This window comes from Homo sapiens, chromosome 1 (assembly GCF_000001405.40).
Source record: "Homo sapiens chromosome 1, GRCh38.p14 Primary Assembly".
Taxonomy (NCBI): Eukaryota; Metazoa; Chordata; class Mammalia; order Primates; family Hominidae; genus Homo; species Homo sapiens.
The window spans coordinates 34053450-34079557 of NC_000001.11; the positions used below are offsets into that span (position 1 = coordinate 34053450).

The 26108-nt window shown below is 46.2% G+C and overlaps 1 protein-coding gene across 12 annotated transcripts in view, besides 2 other annotated features; it reads right to left on the bottom strand.

Moving 5' to 3' along the window:
• CSMD2 (CUB and Sushi multiple domains 2) overlaps positions 1–26108 on the bottom strand; it is a 651845-nt gene that overhangs the window by 539452 nt on the left and 86285 nt on the right. The window lies entirely within an intron of this gene.
• Positions 7321–7822: an enhancer, noted in NCBI's record as "H3K4me1 hESC enhancer chr1:34526371-34526872 (GRCh37/hg19 assembly coordinates)". NCBI's record gives its function as "activates a minimal SCP1, AML or CMV promoter by ChIP-STARR-seq in naive and primed H9 embryonic stem cells {active_cell/tissue: H9 hESC(naive and primed)}" and the evidence as "EXISTENCE:reporter gene assay evidence [ECO:0000049][PMID:30033119]".
• Positions 7823–8322: an enhancer, noted in NCBI's record as "H3K4me1 hESC enhancer chr1:34526873-34527372 (GRCh37/hg19 assembly coordinates)". NCBI's record gives its function as "activates a minimal SCP1, AML or CMV promoter by ChIP-STARR-seq in naive H9 embryonic stem cells {active_cell/tissue: H9 hESC(naive)}" and the evidence as "EXISTENCE:reporter gene assay evidence [ECO:0000049][PMID:30033119]".

Genomic DNA, 26108 nt, shown 5'->3' on the forward strand with positions numbered 1-26108 from the left:
AGAAAGCTCCAAGGAAGGTTAATATGTAATGGTGTGTGTAGTTTCAATACAGGTCCATTATGATTGCGGTGCTCTACTACCCTAGAATCCCTCTTTCTCCCTTTGTTTCCTCAGGAAAACAAGTCCGCATTGCTTCAGAGTCTGAAAAGGCATATGAACATGCAACTTTAGTAGATGAATTTCTTAAAATGTAGTAAGAAACATGCTATTTCCAGGCATCCTCCGGCAAATCTTTTGATCAAGTTGAGTTTCTCTGCAAAGTGCACTATTATCATCTTTATTTCCTTTTGAAAAGAGTTACTGGGTGGGAAAGCAGGAAAATACAACAGATATGGAATGCACTAGCTTCAACAAGGCACTTATAAATGCACAAGAAAGGGAAAGATGAGCTAGACTTTATCACAATAAGACCCATTGATTACTGGCTCAACAACTGTACACAGTTGTCAACTGGGAATAGGGCTCTAGCAGCCTGCGGCAGAGCTAAATCCTTAGCCCTGCCCAGCCCACCTGAATTTGTAAATAGACTCCCAATTTTGAAATAATTTCAGATTTATATAAAAGCTGCAAAAATGGCACAGAAAGTTCCTATATACTCTTTATCCAACTATTCCTAAATGTCAACAGCTTACATAACCATGGCGCATTTGTCAAGACTAAGAGATAACATAGGTATTTTACTATTAACTAAGCTGTAGACTTTATCTGGATTTTGCCTGTTTTTCCACAAATGTCCTTCTTCTCTTCCGAGATCCAATCCAGGATACTACATTGCATTTGCCCTGTAATTTTTAATATCTTCTCTGGGAACAGAGATGGCATACTGATCAATTTATGACTAGTACGAAGCCAGCAGGAATGTCCTAGATAATAATTAAGACCAGAATCCAAAAAGTTTCTTCAGGCTTAATCTAGAGAACTTGCACTAAAGACAGGCATGAGTGAACTTTTGTCCTTGGGTCTGAGATCCAAACTATAAAAGTGGTTTCTGGCCAGGTGCGGTGGCTCATGCCTGTAATCCCTGAACTTTGGGAGGCCGAGGTGGGCAGATCACGAGGTCAGGAGATCGAGACCATCCTGGCTAACACGGTGAAATCCTGTCTCTACTAAAATACCAAAAAATAAAAAATAATAATAATAATTAGCCGGGCGTGGTGGCAGGTGCCTATAGTCCCAGCTACTCGGGAGGCTGAGGAAGGAGAATGGCGTGAACCCGGGAGGCGGAGCTTGCAGTGAGCCGAGATCGCGCCACTGCACTCTAGGCTGGGCGACAGAGCGAGACTCTGTCTCTTTAAAAAAAAGTGGTTTCCAACCAGGCCACTGTCAAACATTATTGGAGCTGGTGATTGTCTCTTATCGTGTGAGCTGGTGTGAAAAAAGCTTGAGACTTTAGGGCACCTTCCCAGAACTACGTCTCTGTAAGGAGAGGTGATGATTCCAGTCTATTCTTTGGGTTTGTTTACCTCCTAAATGCTTTTATTTTTTCTAAGTCATTTTCAAAAATAAGAATCTTTTAGAGACACAAGGATGAAGAATAATATAATAAGCACCTGTATATACAACACCCACACAGGAAATAAAACACTGTAAACATAGTTGGAGCCCCTGGGTAGCTCTGCCTCCCCCTGGCATGGTGACAAGACCCTTTGTAATCTGGCCTCTGCTGCTTCTCCCAGCAGTCATCCACTCTCTCCCCAAACAACAATAACAATAAACAAGCAAATAGCCAGTCTACTCCCAACTTTTCAGCTGTAGAAAAACAAACTGTTTTTCCTCTGCTCTCACTCTACGACAATCAACACAGAATACTTCTGTAACCAAATGGAGGTGGGATGGGGTTCCCCACAAACCAAACAAGCAATCATTTCTGCAGTGGATGCAGGCTGGATGTCCTCCAGTGCAATTCAACTCTGATTATCTACCTGAAGTTAGCATCAGGTCCCGTAGGTTGAGGGCTCAGTCTCACAAGACTGCCTCCCACCGCAGATGCCAATCACAAGACCCTGGTTGTTTTACCTTTACTTCTGACCAACTGGCTGTAAAGCAAGATTCCCAGGACCCCCTCCCCCAGATTTGATTAATTTGCTAATGTGGCTCATAGGACTCAGGGAAATACTTACATTTACTGGTTTATTATAAAGAATATTACAAAGGATACCAATGAACACCAGATGAAGAGATGGAGAGGCCAAGGTATGGAGGAAGAGGCATGGAGTTTCCACATCCTCTTTGAGCATATCAGTCTCCAGGAACCTCCATGTGTTCTGCTATCTGGAAGCTCCTTGAGCCCAGTCTTTCTGAGTTTTTATAGAATCTTCATTACATAGGCATGATTAATTAAATCATAGGCCAGTGGTGATCAACTCAACCTTCAGCCCCTCTCTCCTCCAGAGTTTGCGGGTTGACACTGAAAATCCCAACTCTTTAATCATGGCTTGGTCTTCCCAGTAACCAACCCCGGTCTTGAAGATATTTAGGGATGGCAAGCCAACAGTCAACCCATTAGCATTCATAAGATGTGTATCACTTTGGAGATTCCAAGGATTTCAGCAGCCGTATGTCAGGACAAGAGACAAAGACCAAATGTATATTTCACAATACCACACCAGCCATATAGAATGGCATGCAATTCCCTGAATATCACCGTGGTACACTCGCTTCAGCTCCTTTACACCACTGTTCCCCTGCCTGGACTATTCTTCCTACTCCATTTATCCCCTGCTATCTCCCAACTCCCATTTCTTCTTTAAGACTTGTGTTCAAGTGATATCTCCTCAGGAACACCTTCCCTGATTCCTGGTGCTCTGCCTCTAATCTCTCCCAGCTCTGGACACATCCCTCTATGCTGCACTGGCTTGTCTATTTCCTTCATGTTTCTGCCTCAAGACTGAGTTCTCCAAGGTCAGGGCCTATGTCTGCTTCATCTCTGGATCCCAATGCTAAGCATAAGGCCTGGAATGAAGAGGTCTTTGGGGAATATCTGAAAGGCCTGCAATTTAGTATAATAATTAGGAAAATAGTCTCTAAAGCTAGTAGTGCTTTGTTTTGCATCCTGGCTCAGCTGTGTGACCTTGGGTAAGTTCTTTAACATGTCTGTGCTCCATTTTCCCCTTCATCAAATGTACGGTTAACAATGGTATCTACCTTACAGAGTGTTGAGAGGTTTCAATAACTTAATACAGGCAAAATGTTTTGAATGGTACTTAGCACAGAATAAGTGCTCATAGCTATTACAATTATTTCTATCAAAATGTTCAGCACCTGTTTAGCTATATCACCTGGGTTGGATTTCCACTAAAACAAGACCTGTGTTAAGGATTTGGCTACAAGTGAGCTTATTTGGGAGTTGACCCTAAGAGCACAGTGAGGGGAGGGGATATGAAACAGAAAAGAGAAGGCAGCTGAGAAAGGGGACCTGGTCATATAAGGTGCCACTGGGAGTCAATTGAGCTAAATCCCATTGGGGAACACTGGGAGTGAGCATAGAATACGCAACTCAGAGTCATCCTATTACAGGAAGAAGAGGCTGGGGTATCAATACACTAACTCCCTCCTTTTGGGTTGCTGGTTGCTCCTGGGGTCATTAGCTCCAACCAATGAACTATGGATGTGGCATCTACTGGATCTGCTGCGTCTCCCCTCCACTCCCAGTGACACCTGAGCAGAGAGTGGGAGCGAAAGCCTAGCAGCACTGCTGACTGTGCCCTGTGGCTGCTTGGAGTCTTGATCTCCTCAAGTCCCTTGAGCACCACAGCCTCTGCCCTGGTCTCTCTGCTTGATTCCATCCTGACCACAACCTTCCAAGGGCTGGAATCACAGATATGCAACAGCGCTGAAAACTAATTCAGGTGCCCACCCAGGATGCCACGCCAACCTCAGCATAGGCTGATGGCTGGCAGGAAGCTTCCCTTTTCCCTTCTCCTAGACCCCTAAGCCCTGAGCCTCTCGCTGTTTCTATGCTGTTTCCTGCAGCTTTAGAGTGGGAGGCTCCTGGTGGAGGCGATGCCCTGGCAAACTGTCAGGACCCCTCCCCTCCTAGCAACACTACAGCACCTTACACTGATTGGTGTCTCAGTCCCCGCCCCCTCCCGGCAGGCAGCTCAAAGGCTGAGCCAGAGAGAGGTGGGCAGAGAGGGTCCAGCTGCCAGACTCAGTCCTCCAGCCCCTTGCCTCCGCCTCTTGGCCACCGCTTCCCGTTACTCCCTTCCACAAGCCCCCTCGCTTGTTTGTCCCCAGTGCCTGATAATTAGGCTGTGTTTGTTAAACCATGGGCTCCAGCTCTGCCCACCCAGACTCTGCCTACTGTAGATTTTCCTGCAAGGACTGCAGAGATCATAAAAACAACTACCCACCTTGTCTCTCTGGCTTATTTACTAACTTGGCCATAAATAATCAGGGCAATTTGCATATTACTACTTGGCTTTTTATAGCACCACACATCTGAGCACTGGCAGGCAAGCTGGGGGTTGGGGTGAGGAGGTGAGGCACGCTCTGGGCTGGCAGTGACACTGGCCAGAGCTGTTTCTGGCAGGCTTGGCTTCTCCTGGCCTGAAAGCAGAGAGAACTAGCCTGGGAGTAGGGGCGTGGGACGAGGGAAAGCCAGTCATAGTCACCTAGTTGGGACAGGATGAGCACAGCTGTAGTGGGAGTGACAACTCCATTTGCCAAGGATGGCTTGTGAGCTGGGAGAAACAGGGTCCCAGGCTCCTGCATCACATAGGAGCTGGGTAGAGCACGGGTGCACTTCAGACTCCAGCTCTGCCATTTACTTGCTGTGTCACCCCGGGCAGGTCACTTCCCCTCTCTCATCCTTGTTTCCACACCTGCAAAATGGAGATGACAGTACCTACCCCAGATGATCTTTGTGATGATTCAATGGGGTGCTATAGGGAAGGCACTTAGCATGATGCCTGACCTAGAGCAAGGGCTTGAAATGATGATGATGATGATGATGATATAAAAACAAATCCTCTACATTCCTATAGCTATCAAACAAAATTTATGAAGATAAATAAACCAAGACCTACCCCAAGGAGAGGGAAGTTGTTGAGCTACAGCGTGCAAGGCTGTGGCATCAGAATGGAATATGTGAAGGGCCCACAGTAGCAGAGGAAGTCTATATCTACCAAGGCAGACGAGACAGGGAGAAGGCAGGGTTTAGAGCTGGAATCACCACCTATGCCTGTTGTCTGGGGATCTGGGTTTGGAGTGAGTGTCAGCTCTGAGGGTCTGAGTGCCCACTGGGCTGCCCACCCTGGTTGAAACCGCACACCTGGCCTTCAGCACTGTTCGCCCTACTTTATTAGGGCTGGTCAGCCCTGGTCCCCAGAAGCCTGGACCCTGCTCCCCACACCCCAGCCCTGAATTACATGATTGCTCTACCACCTGCCAGACATGAAGCCGTTTTACAAGCTGGAAGCCATGGATGCTATATTTTTAGATCTCAACTAGCCTTGAACCTTGGGTGGGGCCCTTGTCTAAACCAAACTTTAGGACCTGCTGCTTCTTAGGTGGCGGTCAGTGAATGTCCTAGGCAAAGAAACCCAGCCCTGGTCCCCATTTGCAAATCTAGAGACTGGGCCACTTGCTATGTCTCATAGGACAGAAGCATGAGGGGTCATGGCAGGACACAAGTAAGTGAGCAATGACAATAATATCCCCAAGGTCCTGCTAGGCTCAAGGGTTCCCCAAGTCACAGCTCAAGTATTTGGTGACATTATGACCCTAAGGTCACTGCTACACATGCAAAAGGATGGAGCTATCAGTATCATCAGAAGTCAAGGTGCTTCCAGTGACCAGCAAAAGCTACACCCCAAGGGCTGAGAGGGGTGGAGCGAGACCCATGGGCCCTTCTTCTGTGCCTCAAAAGGCCACCACCTTCCTGGCTCACAGCTTTTTGCTAGATGTGCCTCCATCTGACACCCTCTTCCCTCAGCCCCCTCATTCTAACTGGGTCCTTCCTGAATACTCAAGCCACCCAAGTAGGTTCCCCAGGCCATGTCAATTCTAGCACCCTATTTCTTTCCTTCAGAAGCTTATCAAATCTGTAATCATTCTGTCTGTTTCCTAGTTTATTTACTAATCTCCCTTACTAGAGGCTAAGTTTGGGAGAGATGGGAATCTGTGTATTTTGTTCCCCCACTGTTTTTGCGATGCCTGTTCAACCCTGCAGAGTGACCACATGGCCCAGTATAATTAACATATTATATGGTCTCCCTCAGTGGCTGGCCCCTAACAGGTGCTCAGTAACTATGTGGGGAATGAATACGTGAATGAATGAATGAATGAATGAACGAATGAACACAAGCAGTAAAAGTCGACATTGTCAGTACTGTAGCACACCCTGGATCCTGGTGGGTAACTCTTGCTTTCCTAATTCCCCTGCCCAGATCCCTCTGGGCTGAATCCCTGTCAACCACCACTCCCTTGGACTCTTGCCTGGCTGGTCCCATCTCATCTGTGTTCATTCAAATGTCCCTTTCACCCCCACCCTGCTGGACCATCAGGTCATCATAGGGTCACCTCTGGCCTGACAGAAGCCACAGCCATGGCTGCGATTGGCTCCTTGGATTTCATCACATTTGTGACCTCTAGAAGAGAGGGAAAGAAGAATGCCAGGAAGGCACAGGGTGCCAGGAGCTGAGGATGAGGGCCAGGAATGGGAAAGGTCAACAGGAGTGGATGCCACAGAGGAAAAGGAGGACCAGCCAAGAACAGTCCCCTGGGTCAGGGGAATGAACATCCTAAGAAGAGGATCTGCAGGCAAAGGAGGCTCTGAAACATGACTGCAGGCAGCTAAGGAACAGACAGTAGGATTCAGTTTGGGTAAAATCAATGCATAAGTGTGTGAGGGTGTGTTATCAGTGGTTCTTTCTGGGTGCCAACATGACAGCTGACTTTTAAAAATTCTTCTTTATGACAGTCTTCATTTTCCAAGTTTTCTATAATTAGAATGTATTTATATACTGAAAACATATATATCAAAGGATGGGAAGGAGAAAGACCGGGAGGCGGAGGATGCAGGGCCCCTGGGGGAGGACAGGCAACTGCGGCAGCCTGGGGGGAGCTCTGAGGCTGCCTTGCCCTCCCCAGCGTACCTCGCCCCCAGGCATCCTGGAATTCCTTCTCATCTAGAGCCAGGATTGCTCAGCTCCCAGGCAACAAATGCAGGATTTGTGCAAGTCATGGGGTTCCCTGTTTCCTTTTTTTTTTTTTTCTTCTCTCTTCTACTTTGTATTTTGTAAGAATCTAATTTTAAATTCTCCAGATGCCATATTTTTGATCTTTTCAATTGATTCTTTGCAGAAATGGAGTAACCAAAATGTCATGAATCCCTTTAATGGAAAAGGATAAAAAGGCTGTGAAGGCTTGGAAAGCAGTCACTGTCCAGTCCCCTCTCAGCCAGGCCTCATCTTCGTGGTCCCTGTTCCTCCCCTAGCCATGCTTCTGCCTGGTGGTTGAGATGCACAAAGGCCCCACCCACCTGTATCCCCTGGGTCAGAAAAGTTGGCTTTCTGTCACGACTGGAGACAGCTATTGCATAAGAGACCATAATCCGTAGCCGTGGAAGAGTCTTTGGCACAAAGGGAAGCTCGCACTTCCCAACCCCTGCAGCAAGCTTGCTCCACCCCAACCCTGCCTGGGACATTGGCCAATGTCTGAGAACATTTTTCTTCTCTGCAATGGGGAGAGGGGGGCTACTGGCAGGCCACGGTTGCTGCTAAATATCCTACAAGGTGGAGGACCTCTCCTTACAACAAAGAAACTCCATAGTCCTGAATATCGAGGGTGCCATGGTGAGAAGCAGGCTGGACAGTGTGCCAGGCTCTGTGCCAGGCCCTTGTGTGCCACATCTCACTCTGACCACAAGGCAGACTGTGCTCTGATGGCTGTCCATCCTTGGCTGATCCAGACTTTGGATTGGCCCCGTTTCGCAACGGCTGGAGCGGCTGGGACACAGGGCACCAAGGCTGCCTCACCATGGAAGACCATGCCCCTGGCTCCTCTCTAGCACCCAGGGCCACCACTCACTGCTTCTCTGCTATCTGTGTTCTGAGTGGGGCTCAGGGGCTCAACTACCTGACTCATGGGCTCAAATCCCAGCACCACCACTTATGAGTTACTCAATCTCCCTGAGCCTCAGCTCCTCATCTGCAGAATGGCAACACCTATTTCACAGAGTTCTTGTAAGACTTAAAAGGGTTAATATATGCAAAGTGCTTAGAGCAGTGCCTGGTACATAGTAAGTGCTCAATAATAGTAGCCATTAATATTATCAATATTATTACTCAGATGAGTGAAAGAGATTGCTGGGCACCATAGCTCATCGTGACTGCAATGCATCCCCATCATCACACACAAAGGCACAGGCTTCCGTGCTGGATCCTACAAAACCTCCTGGAGGCCTTATAACCTGACACCATTATTGCCGTCTATGCACATGGCCCTAGAGGTTGAAAGCATTATCTTCCTTTTCCAAATGAGGCAATGGTTGGGTCAGCTCAGCTAGGGTAATTGCTTCAAGCCTCTCCATATCTGTGTATGGGATCTGTGTATGGGATCCCCAGATCAGGTCATCAGGATGGGCTAAGACCCCAATGTCATGAGTGTGCTGGCTTCCCCTCTGATGGGGAGTCCAGCAGGATACATGTGGCTCTTTGGACTCTTAAGTTCTTTATGAACTTGGTGAATATAAAATCAGCAAGAGCACATTTTACCACAGCCCTTGACCTTGCTGGGACCCAGGTGCTGGCAATAGCTCAAAGCAAAACCAGACAAGCACCCACCAGGCCCTCTGAGACTCTGCAGAGGCATTCTGAGGTAGCATTTGGACCCAGCCTAAAAATAAACCCTTAAGCCTTCAACTATTTTTATTACCAAGTAACACATGTCATTGACATCCATCAGGGGTGTCCATGGTACACACGACTGGTAGCAAAAGAGTAGCTTATACCTTCTGACAGTCACTTTAATGTGGATGCCTTAAAACAGACAAGCCAGGAAGTCCCGCTGTGGCCATGTTTCAGGACATGCATTCGAGCTGGCAGTGAAGACAGGGGGTACAGGAAGGACATGGAGGACAGGGAAGGTGGTGAAGAGGGCAGAGGGAGGGGCTCCGGGGGCAAGACCATGAGCAAGAGATCCCAAGGTGAGGGTCCATCCCGAGGGTGGGACAGCCAGGCAAGGGAGGACAGGATGGCCAGGGGGAGCCTCCAACATCTGTGGCTGAACCTGGCTCTTCTTTGGCCTGTTCTGCTGAAAGGCCTCCAGCCACACCCTTGCTTCTGCTGGTGTTTGAGACTCTGCTCTCTGATGCCACAACTGACAGTCCCTGGAGAAGCAAAGCAACAGAACTGGCTATAGAAACCTATGGCCAAACCCTTATGGGCAAGAGGAGTGTATTAGTCCGTTTTCACACTGCTGATAAAGACATACCCGAGACTGGGAAGAAAAAGAGGTTTAATTGGACTTACAGTTCCACATGTCTAGGGAGGCCTCAGAATCATGGTGGGAGGTGAAAGGCACTTCTTACATGGCGGCAACAAGATAAAAGTGAGGAAGATGCAAAAGCGGAAACCCCGATAAAACCATCAGATCTCATGAGACTTATTCACTACCACAAGAACAGTATGGGGGAAACCGCCCCCGTGATTCAAATTACCTCCCACCTGATCCTTCCCACAGCATGTAGGAATTATGGGAGTACAATTCAAGTTGAGATTGGGGTGGGGACACAGCCAAACCATATCATTCCAACCCTGGCCCCTCCAAATCTCATGTCCTCGTATTTCAAAACCAATCATGCCTTCCCAACAGTCCCCCAAAGTCTTAACTCAGTTCAGCATTAACACGAAAGTCCACAGTCCAAAGTCTCATCTGAGACAAGGCAAGTCCTTTCTGCCTATGAGCCTGTAAAATCAAAAAGCAAGCTAGTTATTTCCTAGCTACATGGCGGTACAGGTATTGGGTAAATACAGCCATTCCAAATGGGAGAAATTGGCCAAAACAAAAGGGTTACAGGGCCCATGCAAGTCCGAAATCCAGATGGGGCAGTCAAATTTTAAAGCTCCAAAATCATCTCCTTTGACTCCATGTCTCACATCCAGGTCATGCTGATGCAAGAGGTAGATTCCCATAGTCTTGGGCAGCTCCGGCCTGTGGCTTTGCAGGGTATAGCCCCACTCTGGGCTGCTTTCATGGGCTGGCATTGAGTGCTGCTTTTCCAGGCACACACTGCAAGCTGTTGGTGGATCTACCATTCTGGGGTCTGGAAGATGGTGGCCCTCTTCTCACAGCTCCACTAGATGGAGCTCCGATGGGTGCTCCGATCCCACATTTCCCTTCTGCACTGCCCTAGCAGAGGTTCTCCATGAGGGCCCCGCCCGTACAGCAAACTTTTGCCTGGGCATCCAGGCATTTGGATACATCTGAAATGAGGTTACCAAACCTCAATTCTTGACTTCTGCACACCAGCAGACTCAACACCACATGGAAGCTGCCAAGGCTTGGGGCTTCCACCCTCTGAAGCCACAGCATGAGCCCTATGTTGGCCCCTTTCAGCCATGGCTGGAGTGGCTGGGACACAGGGCACCAAGTCCCTAGGCTGCACACAGCATGGGGATCCTGGGCCCAGCCCACAAAACCACGTATTCCTCCCGGGCCTCTGGGGCTGTAATGGGAGGTGCCGCTGTGAAGGTCTCTGACATGGCCTAGAGACATTTTTCCATTGTCTTTGGGATTAACATTTGGTTCCTTGTTACTTATGCAAATTTTTGCAGCCAGTTTGAATTTCTCCTCAAAAAATGGGTTTTTCTTTTCTACTGCATCATCAGGCTGCAAATTTTCTGAACTTTTATACTCTGTTTCCCTTTTGAAATGGAATGTTTTTAACAGCACTCAAGTCACCTCTTGAATGCTTTGCTGCTTGGAAATTTCTTCTGCCAGATACCCTAAATCATCTCTCTCAAGTTCAAAGTTCCACAAGTCTCTAGGGCGGGGGCAAAATGTCACCAGTCTCTTTACTAAAACATAACAAGAGTCACCTCTGCTCCAGTTTCCAACAAGTTCCTCCTCTCCATCCGAGACCATCTCAGTCTGGACCCTACTGTTCATATCACTGTCAGCATTTCAAAGCCGTTCAACAAACCTCTAGGAGGTTCCAAAGTTTCAAACTTTCACAGATTTTCTTGTCTTCTTCTGAGCCCTCCAAATTATTTCAACCTCTTACTGTTCCAAAGTTGCTTCCACATTTTCGGGTATCTTTTCAGCAACACTTCACTCTACTGGTACCAGTTTACTGTATTAGTCCATTTTCATGCTGCTGATAAAGACATACCCGAGACTGGGAAGAAAAAGAGGTTTAATTGGACTTACAGTTCCACATGGCGGGGGAGGCCTCAGAGTCATGGCAGGAGGCGAAAGGCACTTCTTACATGGTGGCAACAAGAGAAAAATGAGGAAGATGCAAAAGCGGAAAACTCGGATAAAACCATCAGATCTCGTGAGACTTATTCACTACAACAAGAATGATATAAGGGAAACCACCCCTATGATTCAAATTACCTCCCACCAGGTTTCTCCCACAATATGTGGGAATTATGGGAGTATAATTCAAGATGAAATTTGGGTGGAGACACAGAGCCAAACCATATCAAGGAGGCTTCCTGAAAGCTCTTCTTTCCCCTAGGCCTTCCTTTGCTCCCCTCCCCCAACCCCACCTCATGATGGTCTCTTAACTCTGAGAGTGTCTTACAGACAGCTTGAAACAGACTTCTTCTTCTCTCCCATGTCCAGCTCTGCCTTTGGGTGCACCAACACTTTCCTTCTTCGCCCCACTCTGCCTTTTTGCTCTCAAAGATAGGGCCGAATTGTTGGGTATGCACAGAATTCATTATGCCAAACTGCAGACTCCATCAGGCATGGGCTGGGGTCCAAATCTCCAAAGGTTCAGGCAGTAAAACAGTCCAGAAGCACACATTCTAAACCATCCCCAAAACTGCCCCTTCTCTCCCTCAGGCCTATGTCTACAAGGGTACCACCAGCCCTAAGCAGGGCCGGCTGCACAGTGCACAGAGCACTGACTTTGGAACCAGCAGAGCTGGGTTTTAGTTCATCTCTGGTGCTTACTAGCTGCTTGAGCTTGAGACAATGACTTGACCTCTATAAACCTCAATTTTCTTATCTGTGCAATGCGGGTGAATGGAAATGTTATGGAAATGTTGTAAGCAAGGTAATTCATGGAAAGCCTTTAGCACTGTACCCAGGACACAGTAAATGCTCAAAAATAGTTTAAATTCCTATTATCATTATTGCCATCTATATGCACAACCTCTAAATCATGAGTTGTTACCCTGGGGCTCAAAGATGAGTTTCAAGTAGTTTGTGAGTCCACCCATAGAAATTAAATGCAAAATTTTAGTTCAATGTGTGTATATTATGGGAGAGAGTCCCTGGCTGTCATCAGAAGTTCAGAGGGATCCATATCTCCACCCTGCCCAATTAGGAACTTGAGACAGTATTACAGAATGGTCAAGACATAATGGTCAACTCTGAAGTCTGACCACCTGGATCAGCCAGCTGTGTGACCGTAGGAAGACACTTCCTCCCTCCCTTCCTTCAGTTCAGTTGCTATTTGTAATATGGGGCTAATGATAATACATTCCCCATAGGGCTGCTGAGAACACTCAGTGAGATGTAGCATTTCAAGCTGAGAAGAGTGCTGGGTGCAAGGATGTGTTATATGTACGAGTGTTTTTTATGCAGACACATACACACAGCACACATACTAATATATACACTGCATATACAAATACTGTATAAGTGCTAATTTTTATGATCAGGAAGCGCTGTTCCAAAGCCTGCAGTTGATTCATCCCACCCTACTCGTTGCTCATTCCCTCCTGCATCCCCCTCTCTGCCTTGGAATTTCCTTTCCCTCGGAATTTCCTCTCCCTCAGCGTTCCCTGATCCTTTGCATCTTGAAACACCAACAAAGTCAGCAGAAATAATGGGCAGAGAAAGGAAGAGGGGAAATAATCAAAGTTTGGGGCTCAGAAACCAGCCTAGTAGAGGGGGGATGCCATGAAGCTCGAGCTGCAAGTCTTGGGAGCTGCTAAGGCCCTGGGGGCTGGCTCTGACGTGGAGTTAGAAGTCAGGGTCTGAGTCCAGCTGCAGAGACAAGTGGGCTCAAGAGAGGCAGGTGGAGTCTTGCCCTAGCCTAGGGAGGCAGGGGTCTGGCGGGCTTGGACGCAGCAGGATGTGGACCAGCCAGGGGGTTGGGTACACTGCAGCACAGTAGGCATCTGAGTGTCCTGGTCCTAGAATGCTCAGTCCTGTGCCGCTCTCTGGGAAAGATGGGGCTTCTCCACAGTCAGGATGGGCTTGGGGTCTGCAGGACAGACAGCACTATCTGCAGCTGAGCAGGAATGGTGGAGAGCGACACTCAATCATCAAATTAGAAACATCACAAATTCCTGGAAATGATAGTGAAGCAATTCTGCTTGGAAGGGGACAGGATCGATGGTATTGGCAAGCCTGTCATGCCCTCGCAGATTCATGGAGAAAGTTGTGGTGCCTCCCTCAGCCTGCAGGGAAGGCACAGGCGAGGATGAATGCCCGCACCAGGGCTGTAACAGGCAGCCAGAGAAGGCTCGCATTGAGGGATGGACTCCAGATACAAGCTCCCTCATACATGAGTTATCCCAATGACTCACAGCTCTGGGTAGTGATTAGAGGGAAAACTATTGAGAAATATATATTTACTCCAGTTCTACACTTGAGAATGAAACACACATCATTAGCCATAAAAGTAGGATTAAGACAACAGAGCATTATTTGCAAATGATAAACAGACATGGGCACAGATTTAAACATGTACAAAAGATGTAAATCTGAGCAAGGAATGCTTAGTTCTATTGCTACTGAAGGCAGTTCTTATGTGCTGCCTGGATTAGGTGGGGGGTGCATTCTTACATGGTTACTCTCCATTCAACAAACTCTACAAAGGATGGGCCAACGGCTTGTACATAAGAAACCAATATTCTGCCATTCTAGGGAGCCAGGAGCCCCAGGGGCTGCCAGGAAGAGCCTCAGGGATTATCCTGACTAGTCCATGAGCCAGTAGCACCAGCATCACCTGTGAGCTCCTTGGAAATGCATCTCAGACTGAATCTGATTGTGCACATTCACAAATTCCCAGCTGATTTGCATGTGTGTGAAAGTTTGAGAAGCCCCTTTCCAGAGCAGTTTGTCAACCTTTTAAAATCAGGGACCCCCTATGAAGATTCACATAAAATGACTGCCTCCTTCTTCAATGTGGTTTAAAATTCAAAATAAAATGAATAAAAACAAGTCAAAGTAAAGGTCACTCTGAAGATGCTTTTTCAAACTGCACACGTACCTCCCTTCTGGCTCCCACTTACAATATGTGATGCAAGAACCACTCTCCATGACTCCAGGAAGTCAGGATTGGGGAGGCACATCCCCAGGTAAAGAATGACTGACAGAGAGCTACAGCCCCACTGTGCAGATGGCATGTCTGTAGCCCAGAGAGGTGCTTCCCTAGAAGCCCCAACTTCTGCACTGGTGCTTCCTGAGACAGGGACCCTCAGTTCTAGACAGACACAAGTGTTAGAAATGACTTGAAGTTTGTTTCCCTGGAATGTACATTTCACAGCCTGAGTGCCACCATCTTATGTCAGCTTTTGACAACAGTCGTCATTTCCCCTAAGAGTCTCCTTCCTTCAAGTGAACAGCCTGAAGTCCTCAAGATCCATCTTGCAACATAAAGTCCTTCCTCATCCTGGTCATTCTCCCGTGGTCCCACTTGAGTTTGTCAATGTCCCTCTTTGGGTATGGGTAGCAAGGGATATACTTAAACTTTTCTCTTTTCTTTTACATTTAATCTTACATTAATCAAAACATGCATTCTTATTATAAAAACAATGTAACTATGTTGCAAAAAACTTTTCAATACAAAAGATTAAAAAATTATTCATAATCAAGCCATCCTCATACCCATGTTATTATTAGCATGTTGCTATATTTCCTTCTAGTCTTATTCACCTGTGTATACATGCTTACATGGTAATGTACATAATAAACAGATAATTCTGTAGCCTGTTTTGTTATTTTTTAACTTAAACATTTTTTATGCTGCAGCAGTCTTGACAATCATTAGCTTCCCATTCCAGTGTGTAACTGAGAACTGAACTCAGTTCCCCAAGATGTTGGTAATGGTTTGGCTGTGTCCCCACCAAAATCTCATCTTGAATTCCCACGTGTTGGGGTAGGAACCCAGTGGGAGGTAATTGAATCATGGGGGCAGGTCTTTCCCCTGCTGTTCTCATAATAGTGAATGAGTCTTGTGAGATCTGATAGTTAAAAGGGGAGTTCCCTTGCACAAGCTTGCTCTTTGCCTGCTGCCATCCATGTAAGATGTGACTTGCTCCTCCTTGCCGTCTGCCATTATTGTGAGGCCTCCTCAGCCATGTGGAACTGTAAGTCCATTAAACCTCTTTCTTTTGTAAATTGCCCAGTCTTAGGTATGTCTTTATCAGCAGCATGAAAAATGGACTAATAAAGATGGTTTGACCAGTTCAGAGGAAAAAGAGAACAGTTTCTCCACCAATGCTTTCACATGGCAGCCTGCATGACATTGTTCATCTTGCACCCCCCAGGGCCTCATAAATGTGGCAACTCTTTGGAACCCCTTCTTTTACTCTGTACTGGTGTCATCTACTTTTAGGGAGGCCTAAATATACAGGGTATTCAACTATTTATTCATTCATTGGGCAAGAATTTGCTGAGACCCCCCATGTACAAAGCAGTGTGCTGAGGTCTCTGTCTGCAGTGGTGAACAAGACAGCTCTGGTCCCGTGAGTTCATGGAACTTTTATGGTGGTGACCTCAGCAAAGCAACAGAGCACAGGAAGGGAAAGAGACAGAAATCCAGTAAGAACCCATCACAGGCTAACCGTGGGTGCTTGGCTTGCATACATCAGCTCAAAGAATCTTCACAACTCTTTTGCATTGCTGATGAGGAAAAAGCAGTTCAAGGGTACTTGTCCAAAGTCAAAGAGGTAGTAAATGGTAAAGGCAGGATTCAACCCCAGGAGTGCCTGACTTTAAAGCTCTTTCTGAATTCCCTAAATTCACATGGAGACTATAAGATGCTCTTTCTCTCCTGACCCTCCAGTAAGCTCTAGAAATTTTAGAAGGCCATTATGAGACACTCCCAACAATGTGCTTCAATTATTTCATAAAAGAAAGACAAAAATAACAGAATACTGCCTGGTCTCAGAGGTGTGATTAGATTTGGAGAAAGGAGGGGAAAGGGGACCTTTTCTGCAGAAGCACATCCACCAGGAGCATGATTTAGACAAAAGTGTGATTTAGATACCTTATTTTTCATTTGACCAGCCAACAAACATTTGTGCAATTTAAATCTTTTCAGAATGACTCTGACAACCAAGTATCCACGGGTTGACTCAGTCTGCTTCTTATCACCATCAGACTTTGAAAACTCCACCTCCCCCTTCATAATTACTCCAGGCAATCAGCACCAACTGATCAATCAAACAAAGAAAATTGCAGGTTTGAAGCTTTAATTAAATCTATCCGGCACTATCTAATTAAAGAAAATCTTTACTCTTCTACATACTCCAAAATAGAAGAAGCCCACTCCTTTGGGGTTCTACAAATAATTTGCCACTTTGAGGCCTTCACCTAACTTACACTGGAGGAAGAGTGCAGTGGAGAAAAGACAGCCATTCCCTCTTCCTTTACTTCTTGCCTAAGTGCAGGCAAATTCCAAACATGGAAGGAGACAGGACTGTAGAATCCCGTCTCTGGTAGGTTTCCTCTCATCTATCTCTGTCCTTTAGGGTAGATGGGTCCTTTTTCTGGCTGACTGTTGCCCAAGGCCTTTCTCCCGCCCTCCACAGGCTCCTGTGGCTGGAGGGCACTGGCTCAGAGCAGGGAGAAAATGCTAAGAACTCAGCCACACCTTCTTAGCATAGGGCTTATGAGCCATTCTGAAGCTCAGCTTTCTCCTCTGCAAAATGGGATGAATATGACACTTCAATTGGATTGTTGGGAGAAGTCAATAACATAATGCGCCTGAGAAGCCACAACAATCAAACGGAATTGAGAGGAGTAACACTGGGCACTTACATGGGTGGAGCTTTGCGGTAGTGGATACAAATCTGCCTCTGTCTGCAAGAACTCTTTGTGTCTGCATTCCCCCACCCCCACCCTTGCAGACCAAGGCAGGTTTGAAAATATCCACTACTGCAAGGCTTCTTGCAGAACTAGAAAGCTTCTTTATTGTCCAGATTTCTTTATCTCTGGATGGTGAGGAATTCCTCTTATAACTGAAATCCAGCTAAACTATCAGAGCCAAGATGCGTCCCCGTTCCTCTTTACTTTGTAGGGTTTACGTAAGTTTAAGATTTGCCTTGTCTTTGATATGTAGCTGTGGAACTTTGGAGGAGGGAGAAGTTGTATGCAGCTCTACCAGCTTGCCAGGGCATCACAAAAGCCCCTAGATCCCTAGTTAAGAGCCCTTTGGGTTAAAATAATCAAATTGGAAGGTGGAGTCAATTGTTCACGCTTCCTTCCTTATGAGACTTAATAAGGCAGCCATTGCTTATGGAAGGACAAAGGTGGCAGTGATGATGCGAGAGACTGAACTGGCACAGTGAAAGACTGCCAGGTGCAGAGGAGCTAGCCACTATAAACTTCGTGAAAACATCTGCTCCTCCAGGCAGGATTGAAGATGCTGCATTGCCAGTCTGCAAGATGCTAGGGGCATCACGTGGTCAGAAACTGCTTCCATGAATTCAACAGCCAGGCTAGTAGTCTATACTGTCTACAGTGTCTTTACCATGTCATCTAGGCAAACCCAGTCAGCTGCAGCTCCTGGGGCAACTGGTGCAGTAATACGTGAGGTCTAAGTTTACATAAAAGTTTATTTCTCACTTATGTAAAATTCAATCAATCAGCAGCAGATAGGGGAGGAGGTGGGTTCTGCTCCATGCAGTCATCCAGGCATCTAGGCTTCTCTCATCTCCTGTCCCAGGGAAAGATAGAAAGAGAGGATTGCAGAGGAGGCTTTCTGCCCAGACCTGGAAGAGGCACACATCATTTCCATCTACCTTCCACTAAGTCATATGGCTCCATCTAGATGCAAGGGGGCCTAGGAAAATATTGTCCCTAGCTAGGCAGCTGCTTCCCACTAACACCTACACTGTGGAAAAGGAGCAAGATTGATGGTGGGCAATTAGCCTTCTCTGCCACACTGCTTAACGTGCCATTGGAAAATAAACTGTTCGCCAAAGACAACTGCTGGAATTGCTGAAACAGCCAAGAGCAGTACCTACGTAGAGTAGAAAGAATCCCAGAAGCTCAGGGATATTTTATAGTCCTTCTATATGCATCTCCAGCATCATTCAATCACACAATTTCAGAGCTGGAAGAAGCTTTGGAGTTCCTCTAGATTTAAATCCTCATATTGTAAGTCAGGAAAACGCAGATGGCCCTGAGAAGGAATAGGACTTAGTGAAGATCACAAGCAAACCAGTGGCCAAGCTGGGACAGAACCCAGCTCTCCATGCCCCTGGTCTGGCTCTTGGCACCACATCTTGTGACAGAGTAGAAATTGATGCAGTAGCAAAAGGCTGGCCTCACTGTTTATGGGTAGTTGTGGCAGTAGACCCACTTAAGGGTACAATAATTTGGCTCTTTTGTCACTTAAAAGTCGAGAATTGATTTAGTTTTAGATTTACTTTAATTCCAAGAGAATGAGGGACTCAATACTTGGGAAGTGTTTATTTGGGTACCGTGTCTGCTGAAAAAGAAACAGAGGGAAGACTAGAATGACAAGTCCAAACCTGCCTCCACCCTGCAGACACCAGGGTCCCTTGAAGAGCAAATTCTGTGGCCCCAGAAGTTCAGGGAGTAAGAGCTGAGGATATAGAAGGGGGAAACTTCCTATCTCAGCAACAGTGCTGTCAGCAGCCACTTGGAAGAGAGGGGCCGATGAGGATCTAGAGGTGGCCAAGTCTGCTCTAGGGGAATGTTGCGTCTTTGACCAATATCTCATGATACTGCAGGCAGGACCAATTGTGAGAAGTGATGCAGGCAGCACAGCCTTTTGGACTGAGACTCTGGCTCCAGGGGGTGTTAAATTTTGGCTGCTATTAAACAGCAGACTTGGTGAATGAGCAAGGTGAGGCTTTGCCACAAATATTGATTTTGACCTTGAACCACAGGGTCCTACTGTGAGTGGAGAGATTGCTCAGGACCCCGACACTGCTGCCCACCTGGCTTTGTGTATCACCTGCTGCCAACCCCTCCCCCACCACGTCTGCCCAGACCCTCCCTTTGGCATTAGGGATGGAGCACATGGCTGCCCCATGGGGTCACTGCAGTTGGTTTCCAGAGCCTCATCCCTGGCAGACCCCACTCCTCCCCTTCCATAACCCCCTTCGGTGCTGGTCAGGTGGTGCTGACCTGTGTGAACTTGGATATCAAGCAGATACCAGGGTCCCAGGTATCCAGCCTCCCACTCCAAAGCCTGCTTTGGATTGTGAAGGAAGCAGACTGCAGTAACCCCACAAAACAGGCCACTTCCCTGTCCCAAGAAGCCCTGCCCAGCAATGATCAGCGGGTTTTGTCTTCTGCACCCCTCTTCCTCTGCCTCCTTATTAACCACAGCTAACTTTCCTGATTAACTACACAGCTCCTACCAACAGGTTTGCCTCCGGATGGCAAATTTGCCAGCATTTAGGGTGAATCAAACATATTTACTTTTCTGATGTTAGGGGTTTGATAAAATCCATAATGCCTTTGGCCTCAAACCCACTTCCTATTAATTATTAAACCCTTGTGTGTTTCAAGGGTAATTGAATCCATGTTTCTAATTAGTTTACACTTAATTCATCAGAACAATTTTTAAAGGTCTGATGGATGTCCCAATAAGCCTCATGGGCAGTTTAATGAATCCTTATTTAAAAAGAAATTGGACACACACCAAACTGTTAACAGCGGTTACCTCTAGGGAGTGAGGCTGGGACAAGGGCCTGGGAAAGGAGGCAGCTGCATTTTTCTCACTCTATACACTGCTGACCTTCTTAAAGCAGAAAATACCTATTACATTTACTATTTTAGAGAAACTGCTTAAAAAGGAAAAAGGAATGGATTTTTAAAAGGAAATTGAATGAATGAATGCAAATAAATCCAAAGCAATGAAAAGGCATTTTGGTATAGTGGGGGAAAGCCTTGTTTCTGGCTCTAGGAGACCCCTGGCCCACCCCTCTTTAGCCACTATGTTAGTCCATTCTTGCATTGCTGTAAAGAAATACCTGAGATGGGACAATTTATAAAGGAAAGAGGTTTAATTGGCTCACAGTCCCACTGGCTGCACAGGAAGCATGATGCTGGCATTTGCCTGGCTCCTGGGGAGGCCTCAGGAAACTTACAATCACGGCATAAGGCAAAGGGGGAATAAGCACATCACATGGCAAAAGCAGGAGCAACAGAGATGGGGCAGGTGCCCCACACTTAAATAACCAGATCTCATGAGAACTCACTCACTAACGTCAGGACAGCACCAAGAGGATGGTGATAACCATTCATGAGAAATCCGCCCTATGATCCAATTACTACCCACCAGGCCCCACCTCCCACATTGGAGATTACAATCCAACACGAGATTTGGGCAGGGATACAGAGCCAAACTATATCAGCTATTTGGCAGCTTAGGGGCCTTACATGCTTGCTTAACTTCTGCAAAGAGAATTAATACTACCCACCTCCTAAAGGTGTTGTTGAATTATTAGATAATGTGAACAATGTCTATTTAAAACCTTTCATTGTGAACCATCTTTCTTAGAAATGTATCGAGCTCCTCAGCAGGGCATACAGGGTCCCTGGTGGAGCTGGCCCGGGCCACTGCTCCACCTTCCCACTATACACCAGCCAAAATGAACCTACCCATTGTCATTCTGCACCTCACCTTTCTCTCACTTTTGCCTAGACCTATGCACATACTATTTCTTGGCTCGAAACACTCTCATCCCTCCTTCCACACTCTATTAGGGATCTCTTCCTCCAGAGAGCATTGATTCATTCACTCCATAAGTATTTGTTTAGCATCTGCTATAAGCCAGACTCTCTGTTAGGCCCTGGAGAGCTACAATGAAAAGTAAAAGAGAAAGAGTTCTTGTCATCAAGGAGTTTACAGCCTTGTGGGGTAGATGGGCATAAATGAAGAAGACACACACACACACACACACGCGTGTGTAAAACCACAAAGGGTGAATGCATGGTAATCTGAGCAGGTATCACAGGAGGGTTTGACCAGGTTGTGAGGAAAGGGTGTCCTGGGCAAGGAAGGGACAACTGAGTTACTTGAGGAATGAGTAAGGGACAACTAAGCAAGGGGCAGATGGAGGGGGTTCATCCCAAGCCTCCAGATGAGCATCCACAAAGATCTCCCCCAAGGCGAGGTCAGGTTCCCCAGTCATAGCACTTATACCCTGATTATTTAACTGTCTCCCTAAAGATATCGTTAAGTTCCTTGAAGGCAGAAGCTGTCTTGTTAACTGTTGTGTCTCTGATACCTGGCATTCCTGTTAGGCATTCAATAAATGTAGAATAAATTACCATGAGAGCATGAACACAAGTGTCCAGCATGGTGGCTGGAACATAATAGCCGTTCAGTGTCCTCATTCCTTTGTTCTCCTTTCCAGTGTCCCCTCTCTGTTTCAATCCTGAACAAAGACTTTTCCCTCATCCCCATGGGTCCTCCCAGCCTCCTTCTGCCCACAAGAGCACATTCCCAGAGGCATTCTGGAGAGCAGACCCTTCAAGGACGTCCCTATTGATGTGCAAGGCACACCTTTTAAGGAATCCAAAAAACAGGTCCTTTGGGGGCCTCTGCTGTGATACATATTCATAAGAAGACAGTAAATCTGGCAAATTTGTGGATTTTTACAACTTCCAAAACAGGTGTCTGACGCCAGTTGAGTGAAATCTGCAACTAGCTCCAAATGACTAAAACTACATTGCACCTTAGGCTGATGACAGAATGTGTATTTCCAATAATTGAGGGAACGAGTTGTAGTGTTTCCCATAACTTGAGCCCAAATGTCTAAATTAAGAGATGCTTAGCTGTGCTTAACTGGTGCAGTCATCACCAGCACCCTATAAACCCTCCAATATACGGGATGCAGTTTATTAGCAGCGTCTTCATAGATTATGTTTGCTCGTGTCCCATTAGAAAACTTCATTCCACATTAAACTGCAATGCAATAGGATGTCTGCCAGCACGGAGAGGCCATCTAATTGTGCAAAAGCAGAGACGTGGGGATTGTTTCAGTAATTCATCCAGGCAGGGCTGACACTGCATTATCTGGAAGGCTCTTTGTTCTTTTCTTGCTAATTTCCAAACTCCTACAGGCTCCCGGCCTTCAGGACCAGCTCCTACTCCCGTTCCCCACCCTGATCCATTATGAGAAGAATCTGATCAGCTTCTATTGTAAATTTAATTTGAAGCAGCCAGACGCTGCCTTCTGGCACCCTGGGATGTGGTTGCTTGTGAATAGCTCCAGATGAAATGTGAGATGCTTTCAAGGAGATGGCTATGAACTCCTGGTAGAGAAAGGGAGTCATTGGGAGATGAATAGCATCTGCATATAGAACAAGCTGTGCGCAGTGTGTCTATTGGCACCTTCTCATCAATGATGCCAGGTGAAGCTGCCAGTACATAGCATCAGTGAGAAGTTCCCATTTTGCTGAGAAGGAAACTGAGGCTTGAATGGGTTGACTCACTTGCCCAAGTTCACAGACATAGAAAGAGGAGTAAAACCCAGGTATGTCTTATGCTAAAGGTATGAACCTCTCAAATCAATCCACCTCACGGTTTTTCAACCTCAGCTTTACTGGCATTTGGGGACAGATAATTATTTACTGTAGACAGCTGTGCTGTGCATTGTGGGATGATGTTTAGCAGAATCCCTGGCCTCAACCTAGTAGATGTCATCAGCACCTCTCCACTTGCAGTTGGGACAACCACAAATTTCTCCAGATGTGGCCAAATGTCCCCTGGGGGACAAAACTGCCTTCAGTTGAGAACCACTGCTCTACCTCATGATTCACAAATTATTTTGTCTTTTTGCTAAATAGTGCTTTCTAATTTTTCCTATAAATGTAGGAGTATTCCTTTTGTTTCTATCTCATCATAATTAAAGCAGTTTACATACTGTTTTAATTTAATCTTGATCAACTAACCTATAAGGTAGATCTTGATACACCCCGTTTATCAATTAGCATACTGTGGATATCAGTGAAAGTGACTTGCCAATGCTATGCAGCTAGGGAGGAGCTGGAGAGCAAACTCATGTCATCTACTGGCAAGACTGGTGTATATTCCACTGTATGGCTCTGTTACAGCAAAGCAAAAAAAAAAAAAAAAAAAATATATATATATATATATATATATATATAGAAGGCTTGACTCCCATGACTCCCAGCCTTAAGGAGCTTAGAATCTAATAGGAGGAAAGTTCATTTCTCACAACACAATCCAGGAGCAAGCAGCTGGAGAAAGGTGAGGTTAAAGGGGGCTAGGATTGGGGTAGGGAGGTAACGTTTCAGCCTTTTGTTGGAACGCATCCATAAAGAAAGAAGACCAGAGTGTTGGAGAGAAGAGAAGAGAGATGCCTTAAAAATGCAGTGAGGTCACGCCTGTAATCCCAGCACTTTGGGAGGCCGAGGAGGGTGGATCACAAGGTCAGGAGATCGAGACCATCTTGGCTAACACGGTGAATCCCCGTCTCTACTAAAAATACAAAAAATTAGCCGGGCGCGGTGGCGGGCGCCTGTAGTCCCAGCTACTCGGGAGGCTGAGGCAGGAGAATGGCGTGAACCTGGGAGGCGGAGCTTGCACTGAGCCAAGATTGTGCCACTGCAATCCGGCCTGGGCTAAAGAGCGGAACTCCGTCTCAAAAAAAAAAAAAAAAAAAAAAGCAGTGAGGACACTTTGGGAGGCCGAGGCGGGCGAATCATGAGGTCAAGAGATCGAGACCATCCTGGCTAACACAGTGAAACCCCGTCTCTATTAAAAAATACAAAAAATTAGTTGGGCGTGGTGGCGGGCGCCTGTAGTCCCAGCTACTCGGGAGGCTGAGGCAAGAGAATGGTGTGAACCCGGGAGGCGGAGCTTGCAGTGAGCTGAGATTGTGCCACTGCACTCCAGCCTGGGCCACACAGCAAGACTCCATCTCAAAAAAAAAAAAAAAAAAAAAAAAAAAATGCTGTGAGGAGACTCCAAAAGGGAGGAGTTTGGGAGGCAGTGAGGGTTGAAAAACTGCCTATTGTGTACAGTGCTCACTATTTGGGTGATGGATACAACTAGAAGCCCAAACCCCTCCATTGTGCAATGTATCCATGTAAAGAACCAGCACATGTAACCTCCGAATCTAAAATAAAATAATTTTTTAAAATGTAGTGAAAGCAGTAATTGCAAAACTTGTACTCATGAAATTTTTTTTTATTTTTATTTTTCAGAGACTAGGTTTTACTGTGTTGCCCGTGCTAGTCTTGAATTCCCAGGTTCAAACAATCCTCTTGCCTCAGCCTCCCGAGTAGTAGCTGGGACTACAGGTGGATGCCACTGTGCCCAGCTCATTAAGTTTTAGACAATAAACATGGAAATCCCCCAGGTGATGCAGGCAGAGAAAAATCTGCTGCAGGCCTCTTGGTGGTCTGGCCCCACTGTCTGTGTGGGAAGGGAGAGGAGAGGAGGCTATCATGGGATCAGTAATGCCATGATACGTACACATTACATACATACACATGATACATACATGCACAATTAATGACTGTTCCTGAGCTCAGTGACTCCTTCAGTGTCTTTCTACCACACCTGAAATTCCCAGTCTAAAATGTCTGATGAGTTGGCCACAGATGAAGTGTCATCACAGGCACTAGAACTCTCTGGAAAGGTCTGAGTTACTGAGTCCTAAGAACAGAAGGGCAGGAAAGGACGTAAACAATGTTTCCGGACCACGTAAGCATCTATAGCTGGTGGCTCACATACAACAACCCTGTAAGGCGGGTAAATGTCACCTCCATTTTATAGATGAGGCTCAGAGAAACCAAACCTTGTATGAGGTCATAGCATTAATAAATGTAGAGCCTAGCTAGGTATAAATCTAGGTCTGTCCCCACTGCACCCTTCTGTCTCACAGGAAAACACTGAGACAGGAGGTGACCTACCTGCTCTATCTACCAGACAAGTGAAGAAAAATGTCAGTGCAGCAAATATCCTGGTAGGCCCCAAGAACACATTTCACTGGAGACTGAAATTCACTGCAGACTGATTTGGTTTGTTTTCTGTTTCCAAGGCAGACACTGCGGAGTCATCCTCCATTCCTTTCTTTTTCTTACTCCCAGTCCACTGTCCCTATACATCCACTACTAACTCTGGGGATAACTCTTTCCCATAGCATCATACACATCCATGCCATCTTTACCCTTCATTGCTTTAGTCCAGACTACTGCTGTCTCTTTCCTTGCCCCACGGTCGCCAGTCTGCCCTCCACCCCAGTGCATTTTCCACACTGCCACCAAATCATGCCAAAATCCTCTGCTTAAAAATTTTTATTAGAAGGGTATCCACAAAAAACCTACAGATAACATCATACTTAATGCTAAAAGACGAAATGTTTTTCCCCTAACATCAGGAATAAGTCAAGGCTAGCCACTCTGACCATTTCTATTCAATATTATACTGGAGGTTCTAGACAGCACAATCAGGGAAAAAAAGAAATAAGGGGTATCCCGATTGGAAAGGAAGAATTAAAACTTTTATTCACAGATATAAACGAACTGAACTAACAAATTCAGCAAGGTCACAAGATACAAGATCAATTTACAAAAATCAATTGTATTTCTATATACTAACAATGGCTAGTCCAAAAACAAATTTTTTAAAAAACCCATTCACAATAGCATCAAAAAGAATAAAACTTTTATTTAAAAAATTTCCATGTCAAGATGAAGAGGAACGATAACATGTTAAACTCTGCCTTGCCTGACCCCCT